We start from the raw sequence: 16,773 nt of genomic DNA on the forward strand, positions 1-16,773 counted from the left end.
GGAGTCCCCCGCCTGGGGCAGCCCCTCTGCACCTGGGGTGGTGGAGCAGGAGCTTGGCTGCAGGCGGGGCTTTCCTCCCAGCTCTGGGAGCCGCTTCGCTGCAAACGCTGTGACTGCAACCTCCGCCACCCAGGTTCAAGCGATTCTCCCGCCTCAGCCTCCCGAGTAGCTGGGATTACAAGGCACCTGACACCATGCCCAGTTAATTTTTGTATTCTTCCTAGAGACGGGGTTTCACCATGTTACTCAGGATGGTCTCAAACTCCTGATCTCAGATGATCCGCACGCCTCCACCTCCCAAAGTGCTGGGATTACAGGCGTGAGCCACCATGCTCGGCCTAGGTGACTTTTCATGGGGAGATAACACACAGGCATGGTGAGCAGCGTGGCAGAGGACCTGTGTGCAGGGCCCTGTCTCCCGCCGGGGAATCCTTCATCTGGGAAATCTCCGCTGCGGGACAGGGATGCTGTGTCGTCAGGACGCAGCGTCTCTCCAGGGCACCCGGGCCTCCTCTGAGCCTCTTTGCGCTCTTTGGCTGCGTGCTTTCTTTCCTGTGGCAAAAGGTACATGACGTTTTATTGACCATTTCAGCCATTGGCAAGTGTGCAAATCAGTGGCTTTAGTCCATTCGCAATGCAGCTGGACCCCACCCTTTCCTGATTCCCGCAGGCCAGGGCTGAGGGCGGGGAGGGGCCTGTGCAGCAGCCTGAGACCGGCTGTCCAATGGCAGAGCTTCCTTCTGGGAAAGCCATGGGTCCCCTGGGGCCCCATGCTGGAACCCCAGCAATGGTGGTTCACGTGTCTCTCCATCTCACTTCCCGTGCAAAAGCGACACAGGCGGGTACAAACCCAAACAGTGCAGACATGGAGGAGACAGAAGGTGAAAATGGTTTCTGAGCCCCTCCAGCCGCCCTCTGGGGACACCAGCCTGGCGTTCTTCAGACACAAGCACTCCCTGCAGCCAGGAAGAGGAGGAGGCAGCCGGGTCTTGGGCGCAGAGGGACCACCCTGTGAGGACATAGGGAGCAGGTACCATCTGCAGGCCCAGGAGGGAACCAACCCCACCTGCCCCTGCATCTTGGACTTCCAGCCCCCAGAACCATGACACCATTGTGTTTCCATTTCTTGAGCCCCCAAGTCTGTGGCCCTTTGCTTTGTTTTGACACCCCAGCAACATGAGCCCCTTCCCAACCCCTCCCCAGCCCTGGCCCCATCATCCTTGACCTCTCTCTCCCTGCAGGTTAGATCTGCCTGTCCCAGAATTTCACCTGAATCACAAAGCGTGGCGCCTCGGGGCCTGGCTCCCTTCACGTGGCCTGATGTCTGCATATTCATCCGCCGTGCAGTGTGTGTCCACGGTTCATTTTGTGTTGCCACGGAGCATCTCATTGTGTGGCCCTAGCCCAGTGTGTTAATCCGTTCACCTGCTGGTGGGTGTTGCAGTGGTTTCCAGCTCTTGGTTATCACCGAGAAAGTGACTGTGAACTTCCGCACACACGTTTTGCTGAGGACAACTCCTTCCATTTCACTTGGTTATTAGGAGTGGAGTTGCTGGGTCCTAGGGAAGGTGTGTGTTTCTCTCTAAAAGAATTTGCCAAACCGATGTCCAAAGCTGTACCATTTCAGGCTCCTGCCTGAAATCATGCTGTGATTGTCATTTCAGGGTCCACGTCTGACAAGTCCACCGTGGCTGCCCTTCTGGGCCTGTTGCTGCTGACTCACGTTCCCACGGCCACCTTTCCCTGCGTCTGGACGTAGTAGCAATTTCTCGTTGGATGTGGACATTGTGCTGTGACCGCTTTGATCACCTGGCATTTTTGTTGGGTTGTTTTTGGCCTTCCTTTAAAGGACGCTGCGCTGTGTTCTGCGTGGAGTTCAGCTCCTTGCTCTTCACTTTGGTCTTCGTGTGGCTGGTTCTGAAGCCTCTCAGAGCAGGTCCAGCCCAGCCTTTCCTGCAGGAAGAGTCCAGCCCCACTCCCAGGACGGGCCCTGCTGGGTGGCTGCCAACAGCCCAGGATCCTCCAGGACTCTCCCCCTGGCGGTTGGAACTCCTGTCTCCCACCTGTGAGTCCCAGGGGCCGGGGGTCCACAGCCCCCTAGGGTCCCATCCATGCTGAAGAGTCCACCTTCCACATCCATGGCGCCTGACTCCGGAGGCCTCAGAGGCCCTCAGGCAGCCTTCTGGAGCTTTCTGTCTGTGCAGTTCCCTCCCTTCTGGAGCTCTGCCTGCCAGGTCCCTCTGCGGATGTCTCCCTGAGCACTGACCTCCTTCTCCTCAGCCCGCCAGGACTGCTGGACCTGCCTGGATGCCCGCCCCTGCTCGGCCATCCTCAATGGGCCTCCACCCCAGGGCTGGGGTGACCCGGGCTGAAAACAGTTCATCCTGAGTTTCAGTCTCGAGCTTTCGTGGCAGGAGGGAAACTGCTGGCTGTGTTACTCCACGGCGGCTGGAACGGACGGGACCAGCTCCCTTCAGAGGGGCACTTCGGTTGGTTCTAGAATTCTCCTTTGCTATGAAGGCTGCCGGGCACATTCCACACCAGCCACCCTCCACCTCGCATGTGCGTTTATCGATGAAACGCCACAGTGGGACCTCCTGGATCAAATAGTGCAATGATGTAAACGCTTAGTATTGTCCTGGAACCTGCCTCCGAAAAGGCCGTGCGCTCCCGCCTGGGATCCTGCTGCTCCTCCGCCGGCCGCCCCGCACACGCTCCGCTGCCTCTCTGGGCTGGCTCAGCCGTTGCATGTTCCTGCGTGTGCACTGAGACGTCCACCCTGGCACGCTTCTTCCCCTCGGCACGTGGTCCCCACGCTGTGCCTGCCCAGCTCGGAGCCCAGAGGCCCCCGCAGCTCCCCACAACTTCATGGTGCAGTGACCTGAGGCCTCCCCTGGCTCAGTCCCTTTCCCAGGGTCAGGGGTCCATGTATTGAACCAGGACGGGAGGTGCCTTCCCCCTGAGCTCTGTCCCTGCTGAACCTGGAAGGCAGCGCCCGGTGGCGGCTCAGACCCCCAGAGCCTCTTCTGAGGTCCGACACTCCTCTGCTCCCCCCAGGGAGACCCCCTGGCCTGGCCCCCAGCTCTCGGTGCCTCGGTTTCCTCACCTGGAAGGTGGGGATGTTGAAGGTGCCTGGCCTGTGGCTGTGCACTAAGCTAGGGTGACTGTGAGCTTCCAGAGCTCGAATGTCTGGAAGGAAGGGCGCGAGCTGGGTGCGTGTGAGTGTCCTGATCATGGACACAGAGCGTGGGGCCCCTTGGAGGGCTGGAACCCAGGTGGGGGATGCCTGGGTGGTGGGACAGAGTGGGGCTGGAGGAGAGGGTCTGAGGAATGTTCCGGCCACAGACACCCCAAGCCCACGGGAGGTCAGGAGTTGGTCACAAGGAAGGTGAGGTGGGGAACAGAGCTGGGGCCCAGGGTCCTGATTTGGGGTGAGAGGTGACGCCATCCCCGAGTCAGAAAGACGGCCAGGGGAGGGGAGGAGGTGGGGAAAGCAGACAGACGGGGAGGCGGGGGGAGCCCAGGGCCAGGAGTGTCAGGGGCAGGCACTTGAGACAGAGGCACCCTGAGGTTTCCCAGCAGGCAATTGATACCCTGGCCTGCAGCGTGGAGGAACCGGGGCTGGGCTGGAGGCCTGGGGACGCCTGGGGCTGCCCCAATTCCCAGCAGACACCTCACCCTCTGGGAAGCCCCAGCTGCCCCAGATCCCTCCCACAATGCTCTGACCACCCCCAACCCCCAAGTCCTCTCCCTTCTGTCCCCAAGCCCGAGGCCTTGGAGCTGCCCCCGCCCTGGGCCATGAGAGCTGGACACAGAGCCCTCCAAGTTCCACGGGCCTCCTGCACCGCCGCCTGCTCCGCCCTCCTGCCCTCCCCCTCGGCCTCCCCTGTGAGGGCTGCCCACCTAGGTGACCCCGGAGCCGCCTCCTCACGCCTCCATCTGCTCTGCACACCGTCCACTAGCCTGACAGCTGCCCAAAGCCTCCAGAGCACAGAACGGGCCTGGTGTCTGCGCCTCCGTCTCGGGGTGGGCCACGGCCGGTTCTGTGTCCCGTCCCCTCCCCGCTCACCAGCGGTGGACCCCAGCTTCCCTCTGCAGCAGCACTCAACTCACACACTTTCTCAGAGACGCGCAGCCCACCTCGCCCCCGCAGTTTCCTCTTCATCCCTCAGAGCCCCCCATGGCCTGGGCAGTCCATCCTGAGTGTCCGCACCACACGACTGTAGACGTTTGGCTTCTGGACTCAAATCCTTCACCAGATCGTGACCAGGATGGCAATGACCAGGCCTCGGCCTCAGCCCCCTGCCTGGCCTGCACTGGCACAGCATTGGGTCTGGGGAGTCCCCGCGACAGGAGGCGTGGGGCTCGGGGTGCTCACCTGCCTCCCTCTCCCTGCTGGTAATGGTGGGCCCCGGGATGGGGGCAGTGATATCCTGCGGGCAGCCGTGTCAATGCAGATGGCTGGGTGCTGGGTAGGGCCCCGTCTCCCGCCTCCTTGGGCTGCCTCATTTCCTTCCTGATGACCCTGGGGTCCTGCACAGGGCCTGGCGGTGCTGGTGCCGGGAGAGCCCACGCTGAATGGATGAAGGAGTGAGTGCTGTACTTAGCGGGGGGCGCTGAGCGCTGGGTGGGGAGCCCAGGACATTTCCTCCTGCTGCCCGGGAGGTAACACCCTGGACCCCTGGAGTCTGCATTCTGTGAGAGCGGGCAGGCCACAGAGAAGGGAGAAAAGGGACGGAGGGCCGAGGCGGGCGGATACGGGGAGCAGGGAGCGGGGACAGGGCTTACTCAGCAATCAGAGAAGGCCTCAAGGAAGAGGTGACATTTCAGCAAAGACCTGGCACTGTCTGTGCCCTCGGTGGGGCAGATGGGCTCCCTTCAGCCCCCTTGAGGCCTGGCACCTGGGGCCCTATGTCAGGCTTGGGGCCTTGGTGTGGGAGCTGAAGTCGGGGTAGGAGGGGCATGGAGGAAGGGGCAGGAGGGGCTGAGTCTCACTGATGCCTGTGTTAGTCTTGTCTCTTGCCATGCCTCAGTTTCCCTCCTCCCCAGGGTGGGGTGGATGAGACGACTCTGGAGGACGTATCTGAGAGAGTGGGGTTGGAGCCCCGTACCGGCAGGTGTAGGCGCTGTGTCTGCTCTTGGAGGTTGGGCGTTCTTGGGGAGTTGGTGAGGGAACGTGCTGTCCCTGCACCCTGGAGCCCCCATGCCCTCCTGGGGCCCCCGGGAGTGGAGGATGCAAGGGGCCCCCTTCTTCTTCCTTGCAAGACCCACATGGCTCTGCATGTGGGGGACATTCCTGGCAGGGGGCGCTGAGGGCCAGGATGTGAGTGCACCAGGGAAACAGCAGATGGGGCTCCTCTCCCAGGCTCCAGCTGTGGGGTGGGAGTCCATGCTCCTGCGTGTCTCTTGGGGGCTTTTCCTCCACTGGGTGCCACCTGGTCCCCCACCCTGCCTCAGAGTATTGGGGTCTGGGCTCGTCCACCCTGGATGCTGGCCAGGAGTGCACCTGCCTCTGGAGCTCGGGACGCTTGGCCCCACAGGACGGTGTCGCACACCACAGCCGGCCTAACTTCACCCCTGCCTGCTCCCTCTCCAGGGCCGGCCTGCAGGGCTGCACACTTTCTAGTTGGGGTGCAGGTCCCCGGGCTCCTGCCACAGATTCCTGTGGCTGGCCACCCTGCCAACTCTCCTGCAGGTGAGGGTGGGCGCAATCCCCAAGGTCCTTTCCACCAGATGCCACTGAGTCCCCCAGGGGCCAGGGCTGGACCCTGGAGGGGGTCACCTGGCTGAAGTCAGGACCAGGAGGGGCAGGGGGCAGTCGAGGGGCAGGGGGCGGTCCTGGGCCAGGCGTCTGGCAGATGGGCTTGCTGGAGGTGGGGGTTCCTGGTGTGCAGCAGGCGGTGCCAGAGGGGGTGACTGGGACCTGCTCTGGGCAAGCACAGGCGGTGCGTGACAGACCTGGGCTTCCATTGACTGCATCACGTCCAGCAGCAGGAAGGGGCCACGGGGGCACTGGCGTCGTCACGTGGGTCACGAGGTTCCATGTGATGCAGGGAGCGAGGCCGTCACGAGGGACTCACTGGTGCCTGCCTTGGGGCTCCGGGACTGTGGGCTGTCTCCATCCGGAGGTCTCCCTACCACCAGGCTCTGTGGGGCAGGGAAGCCCAGTGGGGTGCAGGGAGCCAGGAAGCTGGGGTGGGGTCAGGGCAGGGTCCACAGGGAGACCGGGCGAGGCTGGCAGCCTTCCCAGTCCGCGCAGCGTCTCTGCAGGGGGAGCAAGAGCTGCCCTTCCACCCCTCCCAGGGGACGGGTAGGGGCACTCTGGGCTTTTCCCACCCCCTCACGCAGGGACACAGGCCTGGTGGGTCTATGACTGAAATTGGCCAGACCGCATTCTGGTGGTTTTATTCGGAAGGGAAGTTTACCCTGTTCAGCAGAAGCTGAGATGGGAACAGGAAACCCACAGGGCCCCTTTATTCGGCAAAAATGTCAGTCAGCGCCCCGGGGAGCAGCCGAGGGTCCCTGAGTGTGTGAGTGAGGTGGGGAAACACAGATGGACTTTGGGGGGCTCCCCCTTCTACAGGAAACCCGGAGTGGACTGGAATGGTGCAGGGGGAGAACTCGCCCCTCCCATCGGGCGCCTCCTTCATACCGGCCCTTCCCCTCGGCTTTGCCTGGACAGCTCCTGCCTCCCGCAGGGCCCACCTGTGTCCCCCAGCGCCGCTCCACCCAGCAGGCCTGAGCCCCTCTCTGCTGCCAGACACCCCCTGCTGCCCACTCTCCTGCTGCTCGGGTTCTGAGGCACAGCTTGTCACACCGAGGCGGATTCTCTTTCTCTTTCTCTTTCTCTTCTGGCCCACAGCCGCAGCAATGGCGCTGAGTTCCTCTGCTGGAGTTCATCCTGCTAGCTGGGTTCCCGAGCTGCCGGTCTGAGCCTGAGGCATGGAGCCTCCTGGAGACTGGGGGCCTCCTCCCTGGAGATCCACCCCCAAAACCGACGTCTTGAGGCTGGTGAGCCCCCGAGCCTCCTCTCCGTCTGCTCGCAGATCCCAGTTCTGACCCCAGGGCCTCCCACAGATCTCTTCCCCATGCCCCTGTCCTGGCCGTTGCTGGCTCCGGCGTCCAGCCCGTCCCCTGCTGCCTGGGGCTCTCGGGTCAACCCAGACCCCCAGCACTGGGCTCACCACAGTGGGGTGAGCAGCAGAGCCACAGCCCTACCCAGCAGACCTCCTCCTGCGTGTGTCCCCCACTCACCACTCCGTCCACGGGCAGCTGGTGAGCCCCCATTTGGCCGGATGTGGGCACTTCTGGGGGCTGGGTGTCTCTGGGCGTCTCTGGGCGGGGCCCTCGAGCAGGTGACCCAACTCCCCGGCAGCCCTGACCTTGGTGACAGGTGATAAGATCAGTGTGCAGCAGGGGGCTGGACCCAGGTGGGTGGGGTGGGGATACTCTCCATGCTCATGTGGCACTCCTGCCTGTCCAGCCACTATCCCCATCAGGGGCCCCCGACTGCCCATCAGCCAGCCCAGGAACGAGGCCACGGCAGAGCCACCCTCCCCGATGTGGCCCTGATCAGCCTGTCACCCACTGTCTGGCTTGTGAGCCTCTGGGGCCCATCCCTGGCTGCCCCTGCTGGCTCTTCAGGGGTCAGCAGGTCCAACCTAGGCCAGCAGGGGGGCCGGCAGGTTGTCTGCCCAGTGGGCTCAATGCTCCCAGGTGTGGGGTGTGGGGTCCCTGGCGAGGGCAGAGTTCCAGTTCCCAGGGCTCCGCGCTGCCAGGCAGCGTCATCAGGGCTGGAGGAGGGGCGGTCCCCACCCTATCCCGGGCTCCAGCGGTCGGCAAGGTTGTTCCATGAGCCTGGCCTGGGGCCCGCTTCTGTCCTCTCTACCAGGCACTGCCGCTCCTCCCCATTGCACAGAGGGAGATTCAGGCTGTGGGGCCAAGCCTGGCAGAGCCCACAGGGCAGCCAGGGCATCTCCCAATGCCTGTCCTGACCCCCTTAGGTGCTGTATCTCACCTTCCTGGGAGCCCCCTGCTACGCCCCAGCTCTGCCGTCCTGCAAGGAGGACGAGTACCCAGTGGGCTCCGAGTGCTGCCCCAAGTGCAGTCCAGGTAGGTGCAGCCCTTTGGCGGGCCAGCTCTGTGGGCCGAGGGCAGACACTCTTGCCCCCTTCTGCCCCAGACACCCCTGTGTTCTCTGCCCCCACAGCCATGGGTGTGATGAAGCCCTGGGGCTAGGTGTGCAGACAGTGAGGGCAGAACCCCCAGGCCAGCAGCTTGGACTCTTCACCCTGGGGGACCCTCACAGTCACACTGCACAGGGGGTGGGTCTGAGAGACGTGGCTGGCCCACCGTGGCCAGAGACATGGGCTCGGGGGCACATACCAGAGCCGGGCCAGGTGTCCCAGGAGGCCCCATGTGCTTCCAGAACTTTCCGATTTTCCCCAGAGCAGCTCTGCTCATGGCTGATGGGGCTGCTGTGTCCCGTGGGGCTCATGGGCCATTTGAGTCCCCTTAGCTGGTGTCTCCCTGCTTGGGCTCTGGGCGCGGGTGGAGTGATGGGTGGGCTCCCGAAGGGGCCTCCCGCAGACTTGCGAAGTTCCCACTCTCTGGGCGGCAGGTTATCGTGTGAAGGAGGCCTGCGGGGAGCTGACGGGCACAGTGTGTGAACCCTGCCCTCCAGGCACCTACATTGCCCACCTCAATGGCCTAAGCAAGTGTCTGCAGTGCCAAATGTGTGACCCAGGTAAGAGGCCAGCACAGCCGGCCCAGCCTCCGCTTGGGCAGCCTGGATGCCCCCGCACCCTGCACCCTCTCTCCATGGCCACAGTGCCCCAGGAAGGCCCCGGCTGCCCCAGGCCAGGTCCCAACCCCATCTCCATGGATGCACCCTGCAGGGGACGCCTTGAGGTCAGCCTCCGGCCCCCGTCCACCTCTGTCTCACCTCTCACTTTGTCACCGCCAGGTGGGCCATCCTGAGCTTGGCGACTGACCCTTATCCCTCGTCCTTGGCTCCTCTGGTGCCCGGGGTGGGTGCCCAGACCTCTCCTGTGCCCACGTCCCTAGCTGCAAAGTGGAATGGGATGGTGCTGGGACTCTCCGGCCGGCACTCGGGCCTGCTGCTTCCCCACAGGGCTTCTTGTCCCTTTCTCCTCCAGATATTGGTTCCCCCTGTGACCTCAGGGGAAGAGGTCACCTGGAGGCTGGTGCCCACCTGAGTCCAGGCAGACAGAAAGGGGAACCAGACCCAGAGGTGGCCTTTGAGTCACTGAGCGCAGAGCCTGTCCATGCGGCCAACGGCTCTGTCCCCTTGGAGCCTCATGCCAGGCTCAGCATGGCCAGTGCTCCCTGCGGCCAGGCAGGACTGCACCTGCGGGACAGGGCTGACGGCACACCTGGGGGCAGGGCCTGAGCCTACAGGGAGGCACAGGGCAGGTGGGCTAGCCATGAACAGAAGAGGAAGCTGGAGTGCTTTGGGGGTTCATGCATGTAGGCTGGGATTTGGGGCTCACACCTCAACCTGCATGCCCAGTTCCATGCCCCTCCCCTCTTGTGAAAGCACCTGTCTACTTGGGCTGAGGATGTGGGGGCACAGGTGGCAGGTGAGGCTGCCCTCAGGAGGGGCCCAGGCCCAGCTTGTACCCCACCTCCACCAGTACCTGAAGAAGTGGGGCTCTCACCCTACCTGCCTCTGCCATTGGAATGGCCTGGTTTGCACAGATGGGAAACCCGTTTGCGGGGTGGGTGTCTGGGTGGGCACGTGGGGCGAGGACCTGCCTGCGGGACCCTGCCCTGGAACTGACAGTGCAAGCTCGGCGTCCTGCCCATCTGGGCAGAAGGCTGGTTTCTCCCATCAACGAAGCCCTCCCAGGACCTTCCTGCAAGCCCTCGTCCCACACGCAGCTCTGCCGTCCCTTGGTGTCCCTCCCGGCCTCAGGTCCTCCATGCTGGGTACCTCTGGGCACCTCGTTTGGCTGAGCCAGGGGTTCAGCCTGGCAGGGCGCCCTGGCAGCAGTCCTTGGCCTGTGGATGCTGTCCTGGCCCGTGGATGGTGTCCCGGCCTCCACGTACCCCTCTCAGCCCCTCCTCTTGGACTCCAGCCATGGGCCTGCGCGCGAGCCGGAACTGCTCCAGGACAGAGAACGCCGTGTGTGGCTGCAGCCCAGGCCACTTCTGCATCGTCCAGGACGGGGACCACTGCGCCGCGTGCCGCGCTTACGCCACCTCCAGCCCGGGCCAGAGGGTGCAGAAGGGAGGTAAGCGGTGGGTGGCGGACACCCCTCCCATTTCCACCCTGGTCCCCAGTGCCCCGCTGTCTGGAGCCCCAGGTTTCCTCGACGGCATGGCCTGCCCAGGGGCCCTGGTGAGACAGAACCTTGGCCAGCCCCAGGCCCACCCACTTCAGCCCTGTCCTGGAAGCAGCCCAGTGGGGAACAGGTGATGGAGGCAGGGGAAGGGGCAAGGAAGGGCCACCCCAGGTTGCTCCACCTCGGGGTTCTGGGACTTCCCAGTCCCCAGGCCTCGCTCTCGGGCCCCTGGTCTGGAGCCTGGGTTTATGGGAGTGACCATGGTTAATGCCACTGTTCAAGCTAAGTCTAGGAGGAGTAAGTGTCCAGCCCTGGCCTGCATCTGGCCGGGCAGCCCCCGCAGCACTGCAGGATGTGGACACAGAGGGACTCCCGGACTCATGAGATCCCAGCTACTCAAGGCCGGGACAGCCAGAGCCACCACCCCAGGCCCCACCTCCAAGACTCTGGACAGGGAGCCTGCCCCTCCCCGCTGGTCCTCCCATCACCCGTAGAGCACCCAGGTCTAGAAGCTCACAGACAAGCAGTCCCTAGCCGCCAGCCCCCTCCTGGCCTGGTGCCCTCAGCCCCCTCTGTCCGTCCCTCTCTTCTCAGGCACCGAGAGTCAGGACACCCTGTGTCAGAACTGCCCCCCGGGGACCTTCTCTCCCAATGGGACCCTGGAGGAATGTCAGCACCAGACCAAGTAAGTGAACCCGGGGGAGGCCCAGCTCTGTGCCCTGGGGAGGGGGCTCCACGTTGCTTCCCTGGGAGATGACCGTCTTCTCCAGCAGAAAGGCTTGAAGGTCCCACCCTGAGCGGCACCCTGGTCACATGCCTGCGTCCAGGAGAGCTGCAGGGCTGAAGCCTGTGTGCCCCAGATAACCCCTTCCATGGGCCCAGACAAAGCCTCATCAGATCTGAGCTTCCTGGAGGCTCAGGATGGGCCTTCCCAGAAGCAGGCCCAGAGGGAGGCTGCCTCCAGATCCCCTGTCCCCTGGGGCTGTGGGTGTCCCTGAATGTCAGGGCCATGGGAGGGCCCCTGGGCTTCAGGGGTTGGGGAAAGTGAACACTCTGCTCTTTGTCCACCTTCGGGAGGACACCTTCAAATGCTGACCCTGGGCCCCTAACTGACCTGAGACTTCAGAGCTTCTTGGGAGGAGCTGGGGTCCCCCAGCGGAGCCTGGGATGGAGCAGGGATGGCTGCCCCAGGGAGGGGGCGGTGGGGCCTTCCATCCTGCTCTGCCCTCCTCGTCCTCTGGCCCCAGCTCAGTCCTGTCCATCTCCAGCTCTAACCATTTTTGTCCCGACACTGGCTCTCCCTCTACCTTCTGTCCTTGTCTGCCACTGGTCTCCCGTGCTCTGGGGTCTCTGCACTGCTGGCTGCCTCCCGCTTCTCTCCCCTCTCCCTCTGCCGTCCTGTCTCCTTTGCCCAGTCTCTCCTTGTTTCTCTTCTCCTCCTTCCTTCTCTCCACCTCCCCATAGCCGAGCTTGGAAAAGTCAGACAGACCTCTGAGGTCTCATCCTGGAGCTGCCACCAGCCCAGCCTCCCTGGGACCTGTCTTCACTGCCTGGGGCCCTGGGAGCCAGGGAGGCTCCCTGAGGCTGAGTGAACACTGGGCGCTGCACCTGCCTCTCCCACGTCCTCGGCCCCACTCCCGCAGGTGCAGCTGGCTGGTGACGAAGGCCGGAGCTGGGACCAGCAGCTCCCACTGGGTATGGTGGTTTCTCTCAGGGAGCCTCGTCATCGTCATTGTTTGCTCCACAGTTGGCCTAATCATATGTGTGAAAAGAAGAAAGCCAAGGGGTGAGCACACGGCGGCCCCATCAGGGCTCATGTCCCCAGCCGTCACCTCTTGGAGCTCTGTCACCCCAAGCCTGGGAGGTGGCCCCAGAGCTTTTCCAGGATCCGCGGCTCCTCCCAGGGCAGCCACTGCAGGCTGGGGCAGGTGGGCTTTCTGCTGTGGCCAGAGCCCAGGTGTCAGCTGGCCTCCCTGGGGGAAGGGAAGGTGGGACCCCTGACCGTGGAGCCCTCAGCCACCCCTGCCCACGCACTCTATGACCCTGTGCTCCTGCCTGCCCCCTGTGGGATGTGGGGAGCAGGACAGGCCCTGCTCAGCTGGGAGAAGCTCTGGGCTGAGGGTCAACAGCCGCCCTGCTGGGGACAAGGCTTTGTCCTCATTGAGGAGAGTAAGGCCATTCATTCATTCATTCATTCATCCACCTATCCGCCCTGGTCTGGGCACCTGTGCTGTGCCTGGCCTCCTGTGCCTGGCCTCCTGGGCACTGACCCCGCTGTGTGGACCCGGCTGTGGCCCTGGGAGCCCTGTGCACAGCCCCCGGGGACGCAGCTTCTAAGCATTGAGGTCTGAAGGGAAAGTCAGCCCCATCCTCCAGCCAGGCGGCAGCAAAGCCACCTGATCCTCACCCGGGGCCTCCAATGCGGGGAGGTCTCGGGGCCTCAGGCTCTAGGGTAGGCCGGGCAGCAGCTTAGTCTCACCCAACTGGGCACCTGCTGGTATGGTGGGCAGGGCCTCTCCACTGTGAAGCGCTTGTTCCCCTCCCATAGATGACGGTTGAATTAGGGTTAGTTATGCACTTGGGGGCCTCAGCTGGGGAGGTGGGCCGGGCGCCCCCAGTCCTATCACCCATGCTGGGCCTCCTGGGGACAGGCTGGGCTAGCAGTCCCAACACAGTTGGCCTCCTCTGCTCTCAGAGAGGGTCAGTCCCTTGGGGACGGTCTCCCAGGGAGAAGCAGGAGTTGTGCCTCCGCCACCGCTGTGAGACCATTGCCATGAGCCTGTGTCCCCTGATCAGACACTGCCCCTCCCTGACCTGTGTGTCTGTGTATTGCAGGTGATGTAGTCAAGGTGATCGTCTCCGTCCAGGTATTGATCCTCCTCCCCCTCTCCCTCCCCCCTCCACCTTCCCACCTCCCCTCTCCCCGCTGGGGCTGGTGTTTCTGGTGTACATGGTGGGGGCTCCCAGTTCTCTGAGGGTCCTGAGTCTTTCAAGTACAGCCACGGTAGCTCAGGAAAGAACCCACCCCCTCAAACTGAAAGCAGTAAAATGAACCCGAGAACCTGGAGTCCCAGGGGGGCCTGAGCAGGCAGGGTCTCCACGATTCGTGTGCTCACAGCGGAAAAGACAGGAGGCAGAAGGTGAGGCCACAGTCATTGAGGCCCTGCAGGCCCCTCCGGACGTCACCACGGTGGCCGTGGAGGAGACAATACCCTCATTCACGGGGAGGAGCCCAAACCACTGACCCACAGACTCTGCACCCCGACGCCAGAGATACCTGGAGCGACGGCTGCTGAAAGAGGCTGTCCACCTGGCGGAACCACCGGAGCCCGGAGGCTTGGGGGCTCCGCCCTGGGCTGGCTTCCGTCTCCTCCAGTGGAGGGAGAGGTGGGGCCCCTGCTGGGGTAGAGCTGGGGACGCCACGTGCCATTCCCATGGGCCAGTGAGGGCCTGGGGCCTCTGTTCTGCTGTGGCCTGAGCTCCCCAGAGTCCTGAGGAGGAGCGCCAGTTGCCCCTCGCTCACAGACCACACACCCAGCCCTCCTGGGCCAGCCCAGAGGGCCCTTCAGACCCCAGCTGTCTGCGCGTCTGACTCTTGTGGCCTCAGCAGGACAGGCCCCGGGCACTGCCTCACAGCCAAGGCTGGACTGGGTTGGCTGCAGTGTGGTGTTTAGTGGATACCACATCGGAAGTGATTTTCTAAATTGGATTTGAATTCGGCTCCTGTTTTCTATTTGTCATGAAACAGTGTATTTGGGGAGATGCTGTGGGAGGATGTAAATATCTTGTTTCTCCTCAAACTGTCACCTCCCGGTGTTTCTTGCTGAACAAGGAGTTCCAGGATGGCTGCTGGGCTGTTCGGGGGACCCCTGCCCTCCTCCCGTCATGCCTGGGGGTTCACTCCACCCAGAGAGGAGCCCTGGCCGCCCCTTCATATCCCAACAGCTGAGCTCTCAGTGGGCTCTTCTGACCTCTGTGGCTCCGTCCGAGGCTATTGCTGTGGATTCTGATGCTCAAATGGTGTCAGATTTGCCCAGTAAAAACCCCAGATCTACATCTGACCTACACTTCCCAGCTGTGTCCACCGAGAAACCCCAGTATCAGTGACGCCTGCTGTGCCCAGCCCTCTCCACCTGCTCCGGGAACCCGCCAGGCCCAGGTCCCGCTGGCAGGGGCTTCACCAGGCCTCTGAGCCACACATTCATTTAATGGTCGGGATGAGGCCCCTTTCCCCACATCTGAAGTTAGAAGCGGTGAGGGGAATGACCCTGCAGCCATGCCATGAGGATGGAGGCCACATAGCCCCTCCGAGCATGCCCGCTCCACCCCGCCCTACCCCCTCTCCTTTCCTTGTCACCTGCCTCCAGCAGAGCCCCCAGGCTGAGCCACCCACCCCAACTCCTCTCCTGCCACCCCTTGTCCTGTGGAAGCTTTGGCTTAGCGTCCTGGGGTGTGGAGAGGCCCATGCAGGCCAGGTGGAGCCCTGGGCCCCTAGAAAGCAGCACTTCTGGCTGCCCCACCCCGTGTCACCCTCTCCCCAACTGGAGGCGTGGTCTCCAGGGACCACGGGCCTCCCTGTGCATGGACCGGCTCCTGACCACCGTCCAGGGTCATTGCCAGGGTACCTTTTCAGAGGCTGACCCCATAGACCTGGCTGCCCCCCAGTGCTAGATGGGAGCCAAGCACAGCCTGCCCTTCTGCCCACAGTCCCGGGGGCAGGTGGGAGCATGGGGCCATGGAGTGAGCGGGCAGGGGTGGCAGAGGGCTCCCTGGTCAGGGGCCCCAACTTCCCTTCCCCCAGGGAGGCCACCTGACATCTGGGCTCCAGGCACAGCAGGAAGCCCACCTGCCCCAACCTGTAGCTCCTCCTCCTGGGAGGAGCCATGGATCCTGGAAAAGCTCTGGGGCCACCTCCCAGGTTTGGGGGGACAGAGCTCCAAGAGACGACGGCTGGGGACACGAGCCCTCATGGGGCCGCTGTGTGCTCACCCCTTGATTTTCTTCTTTTCATGCATGAGATTAGGCCAAGTGTGGAGAAATCAATGATGTTGACGATGAGGCTCCCTGAGAGAAATCACACCCAGCGGGAGCTGCTGCTCCCAGGTCTGGCCTCGGTCACCAGCCACCTGCTGCATCCGCGGGAGTGGGGCCGAGGACATGGGAGTGGCAGGTGCAGCCCCCGGTACTCACTCAGCCCCAGGGAGTGTCCCTGGCTCCCAGGGCTCTGGGAGGTGAGGGCAGGTCCCGGGGGAGGCTGGGTTAGTGGCAGCTCCGGGATGAGACCTCAGAGGTCTGTCTGACTTGTCCAAGCCCGGCTATGGGGAGGTGGGGGGAAGGAAGGAAGAGGAGAGAAATAAGGAGAGGCTGGGCAAAGAAGACAGGACGGCAGAGGGAGAGGGGAGAGAAGTGGGAGGCAGCCAGCAGCGCAGGGCCCTGAGAGTATTTCAGCGGCACCGCTGTCCTGGGCCGCCCGGTGCCACATCTTTGAAAACAGTTGTTTAATTTAAGCTTGTCCACTCAGTAGCTGTTGAATGTGGGAGGTTATCTTGTTCTATTCAAGTTGCTATAAAAATAAAAACTACCATAGACTGGGTGGCTTAACAAGAACAGAAATTCGGCAGGGCGAGGTGGCTCACGCCTGTAATCCCCACACTTTGGGAGGCCGAAGCGGGCAGATCATTTGAAGTCAGAAGTTTGAGACCAGCCTGGCCAACAGGGTGAAAACCGGCCTCTACTAAAAATACAAAAACTAGGTGGGCATGGTGGCGGGTGCCTGTAATCCCAGCTACTCGGGAGGCTGAGGCAGGAGAATCGCTAGAACCCAGGAGGCAGAGGTTGCAGTGAGCTGAGATCCCACCACTGCATTCCAGCCTGGGCAAGTGAGCGAGACTCCATCTCAAAAAATAAAAGAACAGGAATTTATTTCTCACATTTCTGGAGGCTGGAGGTCCAAGATCAAGGTGCCGGTAGATTCGGGGTCTGGTGAGGGTCTCTTCCTGGTTCCTAGATGGCTCCTCATTGTGTCTTGACACAGTGGTCGGGGTGAGGGAGCCTTCTAGGTCTCTTTTTTAAGGGCACTAACCCATTCCTGGGGCTTCCGCCTTCACCAACCACCTAAACACCTCACCTCCTCCGTGAGGTCTTCTCTGATTGCTGAGTAAGCCCTGTCCCCGCTCCCTGTTCCCTGTGTCCGCCCGCCTTGACCCTCCACCCCTTTTCTCCCTTTTCTGTGGTCTGCCCGCTCTCCTGGAATGCAGACTCCAGCAGTCCAGGGTGTTACCTCCCAGGCAGCAGGAGGAAATGTCCCAGGCTCCCGACGCAGCGCCTAGCGCCCCCGGCTAAGTACAGCACTCACTCCTTCATCCATTCAATCCATTCAGTGTGGGCTGTCCCAGCACCAGCACCGCCAGGCCTTGTGCAGCAAACCAGGGTCATCAGGGAGGGAATGAGGCAGCCCAAGGAGGCG

General features: G+C 62.9%; 1 protein-coding gene and 1 long non-coding RNA gene across 14 annotated transcripts, besides 1 other annotated feature; one reads left to right on the forward strand and one right to left on the reverse strand.

Moving 5' to 3' along the window:
- Positions 1-197: 197 nt before the first annotated feature.
- TNFRSF14-AS1 (TNFRSF14 antisense RNA 1) lies at positions 198-7,289 on the reverse strand. The gene is made up of 7 exons (NR_037844.2): positions 7,255-7,289; positions 5,002-6,974; positions 4,379-4,574; positions 3,904-4,092; positions 1,270-2,981; positions 851-1,009; positions 198-552 (listed from the first exon to the last, which is right to left on the reverse strand). It is a non-coding gene; the product is annotated as a TNFRSF14 antisense RNA 1 (long non-coding RNA).
- Positions 562-1,761: an enhancer, noted in NCBI's record as "MED14-independent group 3 enhancer chr1:2481723-2482922 (GRCh37/hg19 assembly coordinates)". NCBI's record gives its function as "activates an origin of replication core promoter dependent on BRD2, BRD4, P300/CBP and CDK7 cofactors, and independent of MED14, by STARR-seq in HCT116 cells {active_cell/tissue: HCT116}" and the evidence as "EXISTENCE:reporter gene assay evidence [ECO:0000049][PMID:35650434]".
- TNFRSF14 (TNF receptor superfamily member 14) lies at positions 4,512-14,107 on the forward strand. Of its 13 annotated transcripts, none has more exons than XM_047433419.1 (9): positions 4,512-4,590; positions 6,863-7,011; positions 8,004-8,112; positions 8,621-8,746; positions 10,101-10,256; positions 10,902-10,992; positions 11,951-12,093; positions 13,143-13,174; positions 13,426-14,107. In XM_047433419.1, exons 2-9 carry the CDS (start codon positions 6,943-6,945, stop codon positions 13,549-13,551), a joined length of 852 nt encoding a protein of 283 aa, XP_047289375.1. In that variant the 5' UTR covers positions 4,512-4,590; positions 6,863-6,942; the 3' UTR covers positions 13,552-14,107. The 13 variants fall into 13 exon arrangements, with proteins under 13 accessions (XP_047289375.1, XP_047289374.1, XP_047289370.1 ...); XM_047433418.1 differs by lacking the exon at positions 4,512-4,590 and adding an exon at positions 5,641-5,695; XM_047433414.1 differs by lacking the exon at positions 4,512-4,590 and adding an exon at positions 6,079-6,539.

Source organism: Homo sapiens, chromosome 1, assembly GCF_000001405.40.
Source record: "Homo sapiens chromosome 1, GRCh38.p14 Primary Assembly".
Taxonomy (NCBI): Eukaryota; Metazoa; Chordata; class Mammalia; order Primates; family Hominidae; genus Homo; species Homo sapiens.